Source organism: Homo sapiens, chromosome 8 (assembly GCF_000001405.40).
Source record: "Homo sapiens chromosome 8, GRCh38.p14 Primary Assembly".
Classification (NCBI taxonomy): domain Eukaryota; kingdom Metazoa; phylum Chordata; class Mammalia; order Primates; family Hominidae; genus Homo; species Homo sapiens.
The window spans coordinates 10,333,550-10,349,075 of record NC_000008.11 but is presented as its reverse complement, the minus strand read 5'-3'; the positions used below and the strand labels follow the sequence as shown (position 1 = coordinate 10,349,075).

Sequence of the window (15,526 nt, the reverse complement as noted above, 5' to 3'; positions counted from 1 at the left end):
TATGATTATTCAAATTTTGTCGGCATTCTTTTTATTCCATTCTCTTAGGCTGGTGTTCTACACGGGGCTGGCATGCTCTGAATGTTTTATCTTCATCAGATACATAAATCCAGGGACCAAAATACCAAGCTGGCAGGCTTTTTTAGATCTCGTGAGCAACAGGGAGGCTGTTTCCCTCTTTCCCACCATGCTGGTCTATGAGATCGTTATGCACACTCATGTGCCTTGTCCCCCCCAAGCCTTCTCCTGCCAAGACCCTGCAGATCCCAGATACCTGTTGATCCCCAATTCTGCCAACCTATCCCTCTTTCCAGTATGACGTGTAACTGCCGAGTTTTAATGAGTAAGGAGATAAATATTTTAGATGCCTTGGTAGTATGAACTGAACTTCTACTAAAGAAAAGCCAGGGCCAGGCATGGTGGCTCACACCTGTAATCCCAGCACTTTGGGAGGCCGAGGCAGGCGGATCACGAGGTCAAGAGATCAAGACCATCCTGGCCAACACGGTGAAACCCCGTCTCTACTAAAAATACAAAAATTAGCCGGGCATGGTGGCGCACGCTTGTAGTCCCGGCTACTTGGAAGGCTGAGGCAGGAGAACTGCTTGAACACAGGAGGCAGAGGTTGCAGTGAGCCGAGATCACGCCACTGCACTCCAGCCTGGGCGACAGAGCAAGAGCAAGACTCTGTCCAAAAAAAAAAAAAAAAAAAAAAAAAGGCAATAATTTCTGGATATAAGTTGGGAAATAGGCATTTGGCCATGCTGCTGGTGTAGGCCTCAAGAAAAAAAAATCTCCGCGGAGAAGGCCCTAGCACGGATTCAAATACAAAGCAATTTACTAGAACTACAAAAGGAAGGGCTGAGTAAACACTGATGGTTCAGACACACAATTATGCTGCTACTCTGTCTATATGGTCTCAGGATTTACAAGCAAACTCTTAACTGCACGTTTGAATTCATCAATCCCAAATCCATCTAAGGATGAACCCACCTTAACGTGAGGGTTATTCTAGATGCAATGACCAGCTGCATCATTCATTTACTCAACAGATATTTACCATGTGCCTACTCTATAAATGGCAAAGACCAGCTAGGGTGGATGTTTCAATGAGCTTAGTTCAGTAAGGGAAAGAAGACATCTGCATCGATCACTACAGCACAGCGTAGTATCTATAACTGCCACTGGAGACAAGGGAATGTTCAGTCATTGTTTAAGCTGCGGAGGTGGTAAAGGCAGCAGAAAGGAGGGGAGGAACTGCCATGTCCTAGAAACAACTAGGGTAACGGGATTGAAAAGTCAAGTGTGTGGCAAGGAGTAATGAACACTATGGACGGGATTATTTCATACGGTTGAGAGCTCTGAAGGCTAGGCTGAGACATGCGAGGCCACAGAAGGGTTTCCCATAAGACAGAAGCATAAGCAAAGTGGAACTTTGGGATGGCGTGGAGGATGGATTCGAGAGGGTGACTGAGACTGGAACCCAGTGACCAGGCGGCAGGCTGAGGTCAGAGTCCAAACCAGAACAAAGGCTGAGGTGGGAATAAAAAGAAATGGGACAGAAATGCAAGAGATGAAGATGATGGGGACCCACTGATAGCTGCAGGGGGCAAGGCAGAGTGTTTGTGAGCATGGTGGGACTTTACAAATCAGGACATCACAAGAAGGAATGGCTTGGGAGAAAGATCAAATGTTTGGTTTTAGACATGATAATTTTGAGATGCAAGTGGAATATCCAGTTGCAGATATCCGTAAGGCAGGGAGAAATGCAGACCAGGGAGTGGAAAGAGGGAGATTTATCAGGCTGTATTTGGTATTCATCAATCATTTGTTTAATCGGTATTTACTATAAGCTGACTGGAGCCAGACACGGTGCAAGGGACTAGGGAAGATACAGTGATGAACAAGACAGAACCCCTGCCCTCAAGGAGTGTTTGGACCAAAAGGGAAAACGAACCAGTAATGACTAAAATAAAGGGGACATGTGTTGTGATCAAAGTGCAGGTGCTGTGAAAACACATTGGAGGGGGCTTCAGCCAGAATGATGGGGTGTGGAAAGAGGGTCTGTGAGGACAGGGAACAAGTAACAGCAGCACCTTCAGTTGGGGGAATGGTGAGAGGCTGAAGATACAAATGGACACTAGTCTGACTATATAAAAACAGAACCTTCACCCACAACCTGCAGCAACCAGCCCAGGGAGCCAACCTACTGTTTAGAGTCACCAGTTCAGGAAGCCAAACAACAACCCCTTTAGCAATCAGCCCCAAATGGCAAGGACTTGATTAATTTCCCTGACAGTTTCCCTAACTTTTGTCCTGGCTTGAAATTCTAGGACTAACCCAAGAAAGCTAAATAGGTACCCCTAATCTATTACACAAGATTCCCCGCATCTTGTTAGCCTGTCTGCAACTTCCCCAGGCCAACAGCCTCCAATCAGGACATACTTGAAGCTTTCCCTCTTTTCCACTCTGGAGCTTTCTCTCTTCCGCTTGCCTTTCAGTCTCTGCCGAACGCAAGGGCTAGTGGCTGGCCCTCTGGATGTAGCAAGCTCTGATTCAAGAGGCTTTGCTTGTTTCCATTTGGTGGTCTTCGTTTATTTCCATATCAGCATGTGAGTTATGAAGGCTAGGGTGCAGTGGATGCAGGATGGGATGCACAGTCCCTAGAGTGGGGGAGGGTGTTTACACTTAGGAGAGTGGGGAACCAGCAGCCATGTTAGAGAGGACCTTATAAGCCATGAGCAGGGCTATGAAATGCATGCTGAGCGCAAAGTCATCCACACAGAGGTGAGAGCTGATTCTGAATCTATACTCCCATATTTTCAGGACTAGGTTCAGTGAATAAGCAAAGCAATGGGTGAGGATAAGACTGCATTTACTGAGGTCAGGACCCCAAGTCACTCAGCCTTTGCCCATATATAAGAGAAAAGAGGGCCAGGGATGGCCTGGTATCCTTAGGGAACTTTGTAAATTTGGAACACTGCACAAGAGGTCACAGTTGAGCTGCCCTCACAAACATGTACACATAAACACAATACAATGAGCCAAGCAAATAAACAAAAACACTAGGAAGGTAGGAATGGATGGCTGAACTATGATTCTGTAGGTAGGCTGTAGGTTTCCAAGTGGTTAGAGTAGGTTGCCAGGAGATTAAACTAAATAAAGTAGGTTGCCAAGTGGTTAGACTAAATAAAGACTTGAGTAAGCTGAAATGCCTCCATTTGGAATGCAGGCTGCTCCTAAAAGGTAGATTTGACCTTTTAGTCTCCTCCTAGTGCCTTTAGTTTCATGCAAACACATCTTGATTTGCCAGGCCTTTTTAGAGTGAGCTTAAAACACCAGAAAAGAAACAGAAACCCGAATAACGCACTTCTCATAATGTAATTATTTTTAAATGTGCAATATGTAACAGAGATGTTTAGCATCTCATAAGTTTTTGGAAAATACATTAGAATTCTTCATAATTATTATTTGTAATAATATATCCCATTGGTATAGTCCTCTACCACTTTGAAGATTCTTCCAATCATATTTGATTTTTACATTGTGTGGAAGATGAAACAGAAGTGTGTGTCTGTGTATGTGTGTGCTGAAGTCAGGTGGTGATAATGGTGGACCCTTGGATCGCTTGGTACAAGACTTCTTCATTCATGAGGAATGTGAATCCTATGATCACACACTCAGTTAGAAATGGATGTGACATGGAAAATACCTCAAACTCAGGCTGGCCCTCCTTACATGCTTAGTAACCTATTCCCATCTAACCGACATGGAAACTGAGGCTAAGGTGGGAAGACCATTACACTAACAGCCTCGACAAATCACACCTCCTGGTATCTACACTAAGAGGGGCAGTCCCCATCCTCACATTAACTTTGGGCTTGAACATATGACTTGTTTTAGCCAAGGAACATCAGCATAGGAAGCAGAGGCTTGATAAGCTCTTGGAATTGGGGTTCAGCATGGCGTCACCATCTCTAGAGCCAACCCAGGCCAGGCTAACCTTGAGGGGGAAAGACCATGGAAAGAGAGAGAGATCCAGACAGCCCCATCTTCCCAACTGAGCCCTGCCTCCAGGTGACCCGCCAAACCGAATGCTGTCCCATGAATGAGTCCAGGCAAAATCGACAGAACAATGCAGCCAACCCACAGAATCACAAGAACAATTATTTTTGTCTTAAACCACCATGATTGGGGTAGTTTGTTATGCTGTGATAGACACCTGACACACTAAGGAAGAATAAATATGTCCACTGTAGTCATTCCCAGGCCCAAGAGTGAACCTGAGGTCTTGTACACCACCTCACACAGTAATGGAGAATGTGTTGGTGAACGAAGCTATCCCTGACATGCAAACCTGAGATCAAGCTCTAGATTCATTCAAACTCATGGTAGTTAGCTCATTCAGATCCTTAATGATCCTTACTTAATGCAACATAATCCTTATGTCAAGGCCATTGGAAATGGCTGGCTTTTTTTTTTTTTTTTTTTTTTTTTTTTTGAGACGGAGTCTCCCTCTGTCACCCAGGCTGGAGTGTCAGTGGCGCAATCTCGGATTGATGCAATCTCCGCCTCCCAGGTTCAAGCGATTCTCCTGCCTCAGCCTCCCCAGTAGCTGGGACTTCAGGAGCCCACCACCACGCCTGTCTAATTTTTGTATTTTTAGTAGAGACGGGGTTTCACCATCTTGGCCAGGCTGGTCTTCAACTCCTGACCTTGTGATCCACCTGCCTCGGTGGAAATGGCTGGCTTTGATTGCCTGATGGTGGAGGGATTCAGCCACCACTCTATAGTCCACCATTAGAGGTGAACAGCTGCTGAGAGATCACCGTACAGATGGGGTGAAGGAAGACCAGAGAGTCAAGGCACTTGCCTCGATCACACTGCTGTTAGTACAAAGGACGATATGAGAATCCAGGTCTTCTCACCTCAAAGCCAGTATCTTTTGGGTGATACATGCAACTTCCTTAGCAAGAGGGAGAAGCTCCAGTCCTGTGGCTTAGAGATATGGATCTTATGTCAGTTCCAGGCAAGAAGATGCTATCTGGGACTACAGAATGTTCTATCTTCAAAGTGATCTTTGGGTAAACAAGAGCCACAAGTGGTATCTCCCAGAAAGACACTCAGCAAGACTGAGGATGAATCAATTGATTCATTCATTATTGATACCCACATATGTCTGAACAGGATCTGAGGTAGCATACGGAGTGCTGATTATTTTCTTTGTTTGGGTAGATAAAACTAGTTATTTATAAGAGATTATTTTAAAATCTCTGTCCTTTGTTATTTTTTGGTTTTGTTGCTGTTTGCATATGAAGTCTTCAAATTTATGTATGATGTTTTAATATTAAAATTTTTTCAGCAGAAATCTATTGACTTGTGTGTGCAGGTCACCAGGGACCCCCCAGCACCCTTTACAAATGTAAAGCGCTACATTTACATTTGTTGAATAAGGAGCACTGGGTTACCTACCCTCACTAAGCTCTCCCATGAACTGATGTAGGAGACAATTAAAGAGTGGTTGGGGAACGCAGTTTGCAAATGGACGGTGCTACAGAAGCAGACATTCCACTTTGGGGGAAAAACAAGAAAAAGAAAACCATATGCCAGAAACAAATTCTAATCACCATACATCATGCTGCAGGTTATTCAACTGCAATACTACTATTCACCGCTTCATTATGAGATTGCATTCCACCCTGAAAACACTGATCACTCCTGCATGACGTACAGCATGGATTGTTGGGTCTGACATGTAAACTAATTACATCCGATCTTAGCTCTGCCTTCAGTCTGTTGTGAAGGCAGATAGAGACGGTGTTCTCACCATGGATTCTGGAATCCCTTTCCCCTGCGATGCTGCTGAGCAAGCCTGAAGGTTGCTGGGAAAAGGAACAATTGAGACCAAGAGATGGAGAAAAGCTGGTCATGATTTCTAGAAGTAGTGACTGCTAAAATATTACAAATGTATCCCTCTAAGAATTAGCTGGGAAGCTAAAATGTGTGTGTGTGTGTGTGTGTCTGTGTGTGTGTGTGTGTGTGTGTGTGTGTGTGTAATGCTTATGCAAGATGCCAGTTCCTTTCCACACGTTATCTCATTTAATTTTCCCAGCAAGCCTATGAAGCAGCTATTTTTTATTATTCACATTTTATGTATGAGAACGCTCAGGCCAGAGAAGTTAAGACACTTGCCCGAAGTCACACAGTGGCAGAGCTGGGATTGGAACCAAGCTGTCTTTCACCGGAGCCTGGTCCCTAAGTCACTCAACTGGGATGCAGGGGCAAGCCCACTGGGCAGAAGCTCTGGGTTATTAACTGAGCTTGGCACCCACGCTGTGTGAGCTTGGGAGCATTGCTTTACCTCTTTGGGGCTCAGGTTCCTCGTCTGTAAGGCCAGGGAACTGCGCTGGACTCGGAGGCCTTCCCTAAGACCCTGCCCCAGCTGTGCTGCTCAGTGATACAACGGCCTCAGATTTGACTTCTGTGCTTCTCTGTGAGGCAGACGAACAGGGTTGGGTAACCTGTGCAATCAAGATCAGCAGTTCCGTGCGGCTCAGAGGCCCCCGGGGAACTCCAGAATCTTTTCCAGGATCCACAAGGTCAAAATTATTCTTATCATCATGCTAAGATATATTTCCCTGTTCACTCTTATTCTCTCATGGGTGCAGGTGAAGTTTTCTGGAAGCTACACGGAGTGTGATGACATCAACACTCGATGGCTGATGGAATGAATGTGTGTTCGGGTTTTTTTAATTTCTCAGTTTTAATTTTTAATCTGGTAAATATCAAACAAAAGCTCATTGGGGTCCTCAATAATTTTTGGGTGCAAAGAGGTCCCGAGGTCAAAAAGTCTGAGAACTGCTGCTCAAGGCCATGCTTGTGAGACCCATGGAAACAAATGAGCGGAAAAATCTCAACACACTGAAGAACAGAACTTAAGAATGAAAAGTGTTGCTTTTGCACAGCTGATTACTAACCAGATATTTTTAACTCTTTGAACCCAGCTGACACACACAGCTTAGACGGCAGTGGAAAGACGCTCCTAGATGAGGACCTCACAGTTAAGCTTCCCCAAAGCCCCTAACCTTGGGCTGGGAGCCTAGCACACAAGAGGCACAGCTTATGTCACAGGAGGAAATGCACTGATGGAAAATGGGGTTCTAGATGTATCTTAGCTGGCACTGTCCCGAGCCATGCCTTCCTCATCAACAGCTGACTGTTTAATGTTCACACGCCTTGGGCAAATCATCTGCCCATTCATGCCCATTGCGGATACAGCTGCAGACAGAACATTGCGAGTCGGGAGCTTGGCACATGTCATCTCACTTACGTCACACCATCAACCTCCGAGGTTCATATGATTAGCTACATTTTATAGATTAGGAAACAGGCTGAGAGGTTAAGTTACCTATCCAGGCTCAAACAGGTACCTAAGTTTGTCTGATGCCCAAGACTAAGTACTAATCCACTACCTTGAGATGTCCAAGCCCAGCGCTGTATGAAAATCACTTAGAGAGTTGATATGGTTTAAATATATGTCCCTGCCCAAATCTCATGTTGAAATGTCATCTCCAGTCCTGGAGGTGGGGCCTAGTGGAAGGTGTTTGGATCATGAAGGCAGATGCTTCATGAATGGCTTGGACCATTCTTTGGTGATAAGTCGGCTTTCACTCTAAGTGCACAGGAGATCTGGTCTTTCAAAACGTGTGGCACCTCCCCCCAACTCTCTCTCCCTTGCTCCTGCTTTCACCATGTGATGTGCCTGTTCCCCCTTCACCTTCCTCCATGATCAGAAACTTCCTGAGGCCTCCCTAGGAGCCGAGCAGATGCCAGCAGGCTTCCTGTAAAGCCTGCAGAATCATGAGCCAATTAAATCTCTTTTCTTTATAAATTACTCAGTCTCAGGTATTTATGGCAACGCGAGAACTGCCTAATACAGGAGTTTTAAACATTTCATATTTCCTGGCCCCACCCCTAAGGACCCTAATTCAGTAGGTCTGAGTGGGAGTCTGGAATCCACAGAGCCCTACAAATAGTCAACCTCTCACTTGGCATCTAAATTAAGGATCTGATCAGTTGGAAATCTTACTTCATGTTGGAGGCTGTTTCCACATCAACGTATTTGTTGTCTTTCTTATCAGGGGCATCTTTTTTCTCAAAGAAATACCATTTTGATTACCACACAAGAACTGTTCTTTCTGTGAAGACAAGTAGGGACCAAGTGAACAGAGAAGCTGATGTGAGATGCTCTTTGCTGATGCCTTTGCAGGTTTTAAGTTTGTATATAGGTTGCTTCCACATCCCCTCCCTTGAATACGGAGGTACTTGGTAAATACCTTTTGAATTGAATCAAAACATGCCATCCTCGCCACTTTATAAAGTGGGTATAATAACTTCCAATCTGGCGGGACACAGTGGCTCATGCCTGGAATCCCAGCACTTTGGGAGGCTGAGGCAGGCGGATCACTTGAGGCCAGGAACTCAAAACAAGCCTGGCCAACATGGCGAGGCCCTGTCTCTACCAAAAATACAAAAACTAGCTGGGCGTGGTGGCACATGCCTAAAATCCCAGCTATTCTGGAGGCTGAAGGACGAGAATCACTTGAAGCCGGGAGGCGAAGGTTGCAGTGAGCCAAGATCACGCCACTGCACTCCAGCCTGGGTGACAGAGGAAAACTTTGTCTCAGATAGATAGATAGATAATAACTCCTAATTTGATGGCTCATAGACTTGCCACCATACGTGGAATTCGGATATACATTTTTTTTTTGATTGTCAAAATCTAGTTCAATACCCTGGTGGTATTAACCCATAAAAGCACGGACACCTGGGGTCAGCTTGGGAGACCTGAGAATGGCACCAAGCTCTGCTGGGAATGGGCAGGTGTGTCACTGTGGTCTCCGAGCTCTGCTGGGAATGGGCGGCTGTGGCTCCGTGGTCTCAAGCGGCTGCCTCTTCTCCTTTGCCGTCTCTTTCCCAGGCTGTGACAGCATTATTGGCTACTCATATTCTCATACCACACGGGCCAGGAAATGGCAGTGCTGATAGCTCTATCATTGTAGACACACACAAGGCAGCTAGGGCAGCTGCCTTGGGGATCCATGAAGATTTTAAGAAGAGGGAGAGCAGAGGCCTGGGTGGGGTAGGGCCTGAGAACAGCCTAGAAGGGCAGACCATAGGGTCCTTATGTTCCCTCTCGTTAGTCATCAGACAGCCTGTATTGAAAACCCCTTGCTGCCGGGCGTGGTGGCTCACGCCTGTAATCCCAGCACTTTGGGAGGCCGAGGCGGGGGGATCACGAGGTCAGGAGATTGAGACCAGCCTGGCTAACACGGTGAAACCCCATCTCTACTAAAAATACAAAAAATTAGCCGGGCGTGGTGGCAGGCACCTGTAGCCCCACCTAGTCGGGAGGCTGAGGCAGGAGAATGGCGTGAACCTGGGAGGCGGAGCTTGCAGTGAGCCAAGATCGCATCACTGCACTCCAGCCTGGGCGACAGAACGAGATTCCGTCTCAGAAAAAAAAAAAAAAAAAAAAAAAAAAGAAAGAAAGAAAACCCCTTGCTTAACAGGGAATAAAACAAACACAAAAATCCTGACCACGAAGAACAGGACAGACACTGAATTCATTGTACTTGTGCTGTACATGTTGACATCTAAATAGATCCAATTCAAAAGCAGCCAATGTGGACCTGAATCATAAGTTTTGGAAACTCATGAAACAAGGTCAAGTCTAATTTCAAACATGAGTTGCCTTCTGAAGAAAAGTTATTTAGCCAGAAAAGTTACAGAAAGGGCCTGTCTCCATGCTCAGATAAAGAGATGGTAACGTAAGAGTTTTACAAACTGCAACTCCAACATCATCGCTTCGTGGGTGTCCCTGACTTACAGTTTTCATTCCAAAGCCAAGGGGCTAGGAAAGGCAGGGACCAGAGAGGAGATCAATGAAAATTTTCATCTGTCAGCCACTGTCAACTTATCTCTGCAGTCAAGGTTCATAAGAACAAGGGAACAAACCCAGTGAATTAAAAAATGGAAAAGAATAAAATGCCAGATCTTTCATCACTTAGAAAATGCAGTTTGGCAAGGACTGGAAACTGGCCTGGCACTTGCTCCCCACAACCCAATTCTGCCAAAACCTTACTTAAATTTGTAGAGCATTTTCTGGATTATAACCTTTGCCCGCACATCAGCTCCCTAGAGCCTCAAAAACACCCCCAAAGAGAGTGATCAGGGCAAGGGTTGCTAGCTCAGTTTTGCAGGTTAGGAAATTATTTGTCTGAAGTTGTATGAATCACCAAAGCACCACAAAAGTCCATTAAAGGGGCTTTCAGTACACAGGTGGCACTTCTTGGAGAATTTCTATGTGACTTCTTCACAGAGTTTTCTCAATCCTGAAAGGTTTTTCTTTCTATACAATTCTTCTTTAAATTTTTTATTATTATTTTTGATTGACAAATCCTAACTGTATATCTTTATGGAGTGCATGATGTTTTAATATATGCATACAATGTAGAATAATCAAATGAAGCCAGTTAGCAAAGCCAACCCTTCACTTACCTATTGTTTTTTTATGGTGAGACGTGTTAAATGTGCTCTTAGTTATTCTGAAATATACACTACATTATTGACTACAGTCACCCTGCTGTGCAACAGATCTCAAACCCTATTCCTCCTGTGGATCTGAAACTCTGCACCCTTTGACCAACAACTCCTCCTCCCTTCCCCACTCCACCCTGGCCTCTGGCCTTTCTATTCCCTGCTTTAGGATTTCAACTTCTTCAGATTCCACATATAAGTGAGATCATGCGGTATTTTTCTTTCTGTGCCTGCCTTATTTCACTCAACATAAACAACACAATGATTCTTGAGCACCTTTTGCTTTCTGCTAGTATTGCTTTCTCGGGGCTCACTTTCCTAGGTTCCTCTTTCACACAAGTGTGCATACAGTGGTTCACAGTTTTCTTTCCTACTCCTGCCTAATTCCTCACACGTCCTATTTGCCTTTTTCTCCCACTTAAGGATATTTTTTTCTTTGGCTGCTCTTTGATCACCCCTTAGGTTCATTTCTCATATCTTCTATCAACTCCCCTAACCCCTGCTTTCCTGGGCCACCCAGTTTACCTCCCTACTTCCAAGTCTTATTAGTCTTGCATCAGAAACACGAAGCCCTGCTGTCATAACAAAGAATGTGTGCATTTGTGAGGACCACTTTACAAACTGATTTAGCAGAAAGAAGGCACCTTGCTGCATACTAATAATATTGCTTTAATAATGTTTTCTTGAAGATGGCTGCACCCAGGCGAGTTGAGCAGAGGAGGCTGCAGTGAGCCCCAGCATGGCTGAGGAAGAACAGGGAAGCACCAGCTGCCGAGAGAGGAGGAGTATAAGGTTCAAGATGAAAAATCATTCACCGGATGACACTATCAAGGAAAATGTGACAATATCCAATATCAGGACCAGAAAAATTAACCAACTTCCAGAGACAGAGAGGAATCTGCTTGAACATGGATTGATGTATATCAGACTTAATGCTGCTTTCTGTAGCCTAGTAGCACACAGTCTTTTTGGATTCATCTTAAAAGCGACATAGGCTTGGCCGGGCGTGGTGGCTCACGCCTGTAATCCCAGCACTTTGGGAGGCCGAGGCTGGTGGATCACGAGGTCAGGAGATCCAGATCATCCTGGCTAACACAGTGAAATGCCGTCTCTACTAAAAATAAAAAAAATTAGCCAGGCGTGGTGGCGGGCGCCTGTAGTCCCAGCTACTCGGGAGGCTGAGGCAGGAGAATGGCGTGAACCCACGAGGTGGAGCTTGCAGTGAGCCGAGATCGCACCACTGCACTCCAGCCTGGGTGACAGAGTGAGACTCCGTCTCAGAAAAAAAAAAAAAAGTAACATAGGCTTCTAGAGCTGCTGGCCTAGCGACAGCAGTGATCCCATTTGACTGTACACATATCTCAGGAGGGGTTTGTGAGTTTACCTTTGCAGACAGGTGATGTGAATTGCGAAACCTGACTATTACAAGGCATGGATTAGCTGGTCTTATCTCTGGTGGTCTTTACCATTGTTTTCTGGGCTACACAGGTGAATGGCAGCCTTGTGGCCAGGTAGGACTCAGCCCTGCTACCAGAGAAAGGAAACAATTCGCTGGATTAGAATTTCTATGCCTGTCTTTGTAAAAATGTTAATTCCCATTTTGCCCCAGACTGTGTTTGCAGCAAACGTTGGGTCTAGACAATTAACTGCTTATAAAGAGCGTTCAATTGCCTCAATGTGGCCTAGAAATTCACCGATTCCAAGCAAATGTGTATACACACACACAAAGGTAAAAATAACCTATCTCTAATGTATGAATAAATACAGACTTGTAATTTATCATGTAAGTTACAACTCTGGAATCTACATCAAAAGGCTACACAGAGCAACAAAAAGCTGAATCTCAGTAAGGGCTACTCATGTAAACAAGAGCCTAATTTCACTGGTTTGCCCAATATTGTCTCTTTCCTCACTTATTCCACTGTACATCAGACACTGAGTTTGGTCTGTAACACAAGAGGGAAAAATAACCATACAGCAATTTTCAATGACGACTTTGTAAAGAAGCCAAACAGAAATGAAAATGAAAAAAAAAAAAGGATTAAAATTTTTTTTTTCTATCACATGTGCTTGGGTGTTAGGCTCTGTGGATTCCTGAAACCACACAGCACCCTTTGTGTGAATATGTATAAAAATAATATATTAGTGTTTAAGTCAACCAAGTGTCTCTGGCATAATAATGTTCCTCCAATCAGGTCCTATTTTTTTCTCACAGTATTTTTCTTTCTTACTAAATCTTGCTATTTTATTAAAAGATTTTGTGTTTGCAAATGTGTTTCTGCCAGCAGAAGGAACCACAAAAAATCCTCAACCATTAGCCCCTGATCTTGACAAATTAAACACTAGTGACATATTCTTTTAATGTGATATTGGCAAGATACGGAATGAGAAGAAAGGGAGGAGCGATCTTCCTCCTAGAGCCCATTCCCTATTTATAAATCTGTGAGGGTGTGACATGTCCAGAGGGAATCTACCTGGCCCAGTGACAGAATGGAAAGAGCATGCACAGAGCTTGGAATCAGGGAGCGGGAGTGTGCATCCTGGGCTCCCCCATGTACGTATCATGTGGTCTCAAGTTACCAGCTGCTTCTCCTGGAGGGCAGCGATTAGAGTGACAGCCTCCCAGGCTCCTTATGAGAAGCAGAGGAGAGAATGTTTGTGAAAGTGCTTTCTGCACTCCCAAATCTGCTGACTGGTCCTATGTTGGGGAAGGCAGGTGACCAACCACAGCCAAATCGCAGTGGGTGCCCTCCCTCTGGGGATTGAAGGCTCTGGGTGTGGCTGGCTCTCTTTCTCACTCAGCAGGGAACCCAAGTCGCCAGCCGAAGAGAGCCCGAGGCAGGTAGCTGCAGTTCCCCTCCAAGACTTCTCCACACCTGTTTGACCAGGTACAAGATCAGGCGCCGGGGTCATCTGTTCACTAGGCCACGGGGTCAGGACAAGAGTCACCCGCAGCTCTGAGGCCAGATGGTAATTCCAATCGCCTCCCCAGTTCAGCAGCGAACCCAGCAAGACGAAGATAATTTTCGAAACATTCAGGCTCGGGAGTAGACGTCGCAATGGAGTGCTGTCCTCGCGGCTTTGGAGCCACGGGGCATGGCCAAGGTAAATGGAATCTGACAGCTAAACTTAGGCTCAGGCCTCACGTGCAGTGTCTGTGAGTAGAAAGGGTCACAGGGCCGGATTTCAAATTCAAACACTACAAAAAAAAAAAAAAAAAAAAAAACAGAGCTGGGAGGTGTTAAGGGTGAAGGAAAAGGTGGCTCACTTTCCCTTATGAGCCTTGCTTTTGTCCTTCACCTGCTTCCCATTCCATGGAGAAGCTGATGACATTGACCCTGACCGTTTCTGGACAGCTGGGTGGGGCGCACGGTGCGGGGGGCGGTCCCTGCGCCCGGCCCGTCCTGCAACGCACCATGCCCAGGCCTCTACCTGCACGGGGCCATGGCGCAGGGCACTAGACCTAAGGACACGAGAGCCTTTTATTCCTCCTCGCTTGCAGCCAATGGGCGGGCTCGCCGCGCCGGCTGCCATAGCAACGGGAAGATGGCTCGGCGGGGCCCGAACAGCCATCACGTGGGCCGAGGCAGCGGGGCAGACGGGAGCGGCCAGAGCGGGGGAGGGGTGGCGCGCTGGAGTTAAATGGTCCCACCAGAGGGAGTAAGGCACATTTTGAAGTAAGTGCAAAGCGGGACCATCTATTTTCTTTCTTTTTCCTGCCCTTTAAGCGCTAAATACACATGCACAAACACAAATGGCCTTTCATCTCCGCTCCTGAGGTGCTCCCGGCTCTCTGGCTTTCGTGGCAAACATGAAAGCTCTGATCTCTGGAAGCGTTAAATGAACATTGCCTCGGTGGCGGAAATGCAAGCGGGCGTCCCGCGGCCGTGCAGGCGCAGGCCGGGGAGCTCGGGACCACGCGGGCTGCGACACAATCAACGGGAATTTGAAACGCAAACGCACTGCCCCTGTAGGAAACGGCAAACCCTGCTTCACTCTTGGCGCCACAGAAATAAAAGCGTCCCTGCACCTCCCCCCCGCCCCCGGTAGTTTCTCTGATCCTATCACTCCGGAGCCACTTTATAGAGGCTGAACCAGGGCCAGGCTTATCCATCTACCTGCCAGAACAACAAAGGCCCTTTTGTTGTCTTTAAAGTAGACCCTACCCTAGCTGAAATGCTGTGTTTAAAATGTTTCTGCTGCCATCCCTTTCTTTTCCACGGAAATTAACGAATATAAATGTGTGTGTATATATACCCAGACACACACACACACACACACACACACATAAATACACACACACACACACACCCCTATATGTTAGTTGGTAAGATAAGAGATGATATTAACGCAGGCAGGAAAGCAGGCAGTAGGCGCTGGGGCCTTTTTTCCTCCCTGCTTGCAGCCAATGGACGGGAACTTAATGCTGCTGCTGTTATCAGACCACACGAATGGCGGGTAGGGGGAGAAAAACGTATAGGCCCTGTCCTAATCTGATAGGTGAAATTCTCTGAATGTGTTGGAGAATGGGAAAATGCTGCTTACAAGTATTTTGCACTTGGGTTTAATTCACCTGACATTCACAGAGTGCCTGCCTTGTGTGAAGTGCTCATGGAATGTTGCCACAGATGCAAAGCAAGGGAAGGTCCCACTCAGCGTGGGGGGGGTGGGGTGGAGAAGAAACGTGGAAACTCTCATAAGGGTCAGAGGAAACGAGATGCAAGCCAAGCGTGATGCGAACATGGAGGGGGGCCGGCTCTGAGAAGCGTCCTGGGGGATGGGGAGCTGAAAAAGAAGCATCTGGCATTGCCCAGGCCCCTGTTCTGTGACAGACACTTTACATATACACCATATCATCCTTATAACTGCCTAAGAAGTAGCCACTATTATCCTGTTTAGCAAATAAGAAAACCTAGGCTTAGACAGG

The 15,526-nt window shown here is 46.1% G+C and overlaps 1 protein-coding gene and 1 pseudogene across 8 annotated transcripts in view, besides 6 other annotated features; one reads left to right on the top strand and one right to left on the bottom strand.

Annotated features, from left to right (window-relative positions):
- Positions 1–15,526, bottom strand: part of MSRA (methionine sulfoxide reductase A) — a 374,600-nt gene that overhangs the window by 79,816 nt on the left and 279,258 nt on the right. The window lies entirely within an intron of this gene.
- On the top strand, positions 11,420–12,293 carry LOC100420053 (transmembrane protein 126A pseudogene; annotated as a pseudogene).
- Positions 11,597–12,453: an enhancer, noted in NCBI's record as "OCT4-NANOG-H3K4me1 hESC enhancer chr8:10194133-10194989 (GRCh37/hg19 assembly coordinates)". NCBI's record gives its function as "activates a minimal SCP1, AML or CMV promoter by ChIP-STARR-seq in primed H9 embryonic stem cells {active_cell/tissue: H9 hESC(primed)}" and the evidence as "EXISTENCE:reporter gene assay evidence [ECO:0000049][PMID:30033119]".
- Positions 13,781–14,605: an enhancer, noted in NCBI's record as "NANOG-H3K27ac-H3K4me1 hESC enhancer chr8:10191981-10192805 (GRCh37/hg19 assembly coordinates)". NCBI's record gives its function as "activates a minimal SCP1, AML or CMV promoter by ChIP-STARR-seq in naive H9 embryonic stem cells {active_cell/tissue: H9 hESC(naive)}" and the evidence as "EXISTENCE:reporter gene assay evidence [ECO:0000049][PMID:30033119]".
- Positions 13,928–14,027: a silencer, noted in NCBI's record as "silent region_18913". NCBI's record gives its function as "represses an Ori minimal core promoter by ATAC-STARR-seq in GM12878 lymphoblastoid cells {active_cell/tissue: GM12878}" and the evidence as "EXISTENCE:reporter gene assay evidence [ECO:0000049][PMID:35858748]".
- Positions 14,058–14,107: a silencer, noted in NCBI's record as "silent region_18912". NCBI's record gives its function as "represses an Ori minimal core promoter by ATAC-STARR-seq in GM12878 lymphoblastoid cells {active_cell/tissue: GM12878}" and the evidence as "EXISTENCE:reporter gene assay evidence [ECO:0000049][PMID:35858748]".
- Positions 14,488–14,537: a silencer, noted in NCBI's record as "silent region_18911". NCBI's record gives its function as "represses an Ori minimal core promoter by ATAC-STARR-seq in GM12878 lymphoblastoid cells {active_cell/tissue: GM12878}" and the evidence as "EXISTENCE:reporter gene assay evidence [ECO:0000049][PMID:35858748]".
- Positions 14,606–15,430: an enhancer, noted in NCBI's record as "H3K27ac-H3K4me1 hESC enhancer chr8:10191156-10191980 (GRCh37/hg19 assembly coordinates)". NCBI's record gives its function as "activates a minimal SCP1, AML or CMV promoter by ChIP-STARR-seq in primed H9 embryonic stem cells {active_cell/tissue: H9 hESC(primed)}" and the evidence as "EXISTENCE:reporter gene assay evidence [ECO:0000049][PMID:30033119]".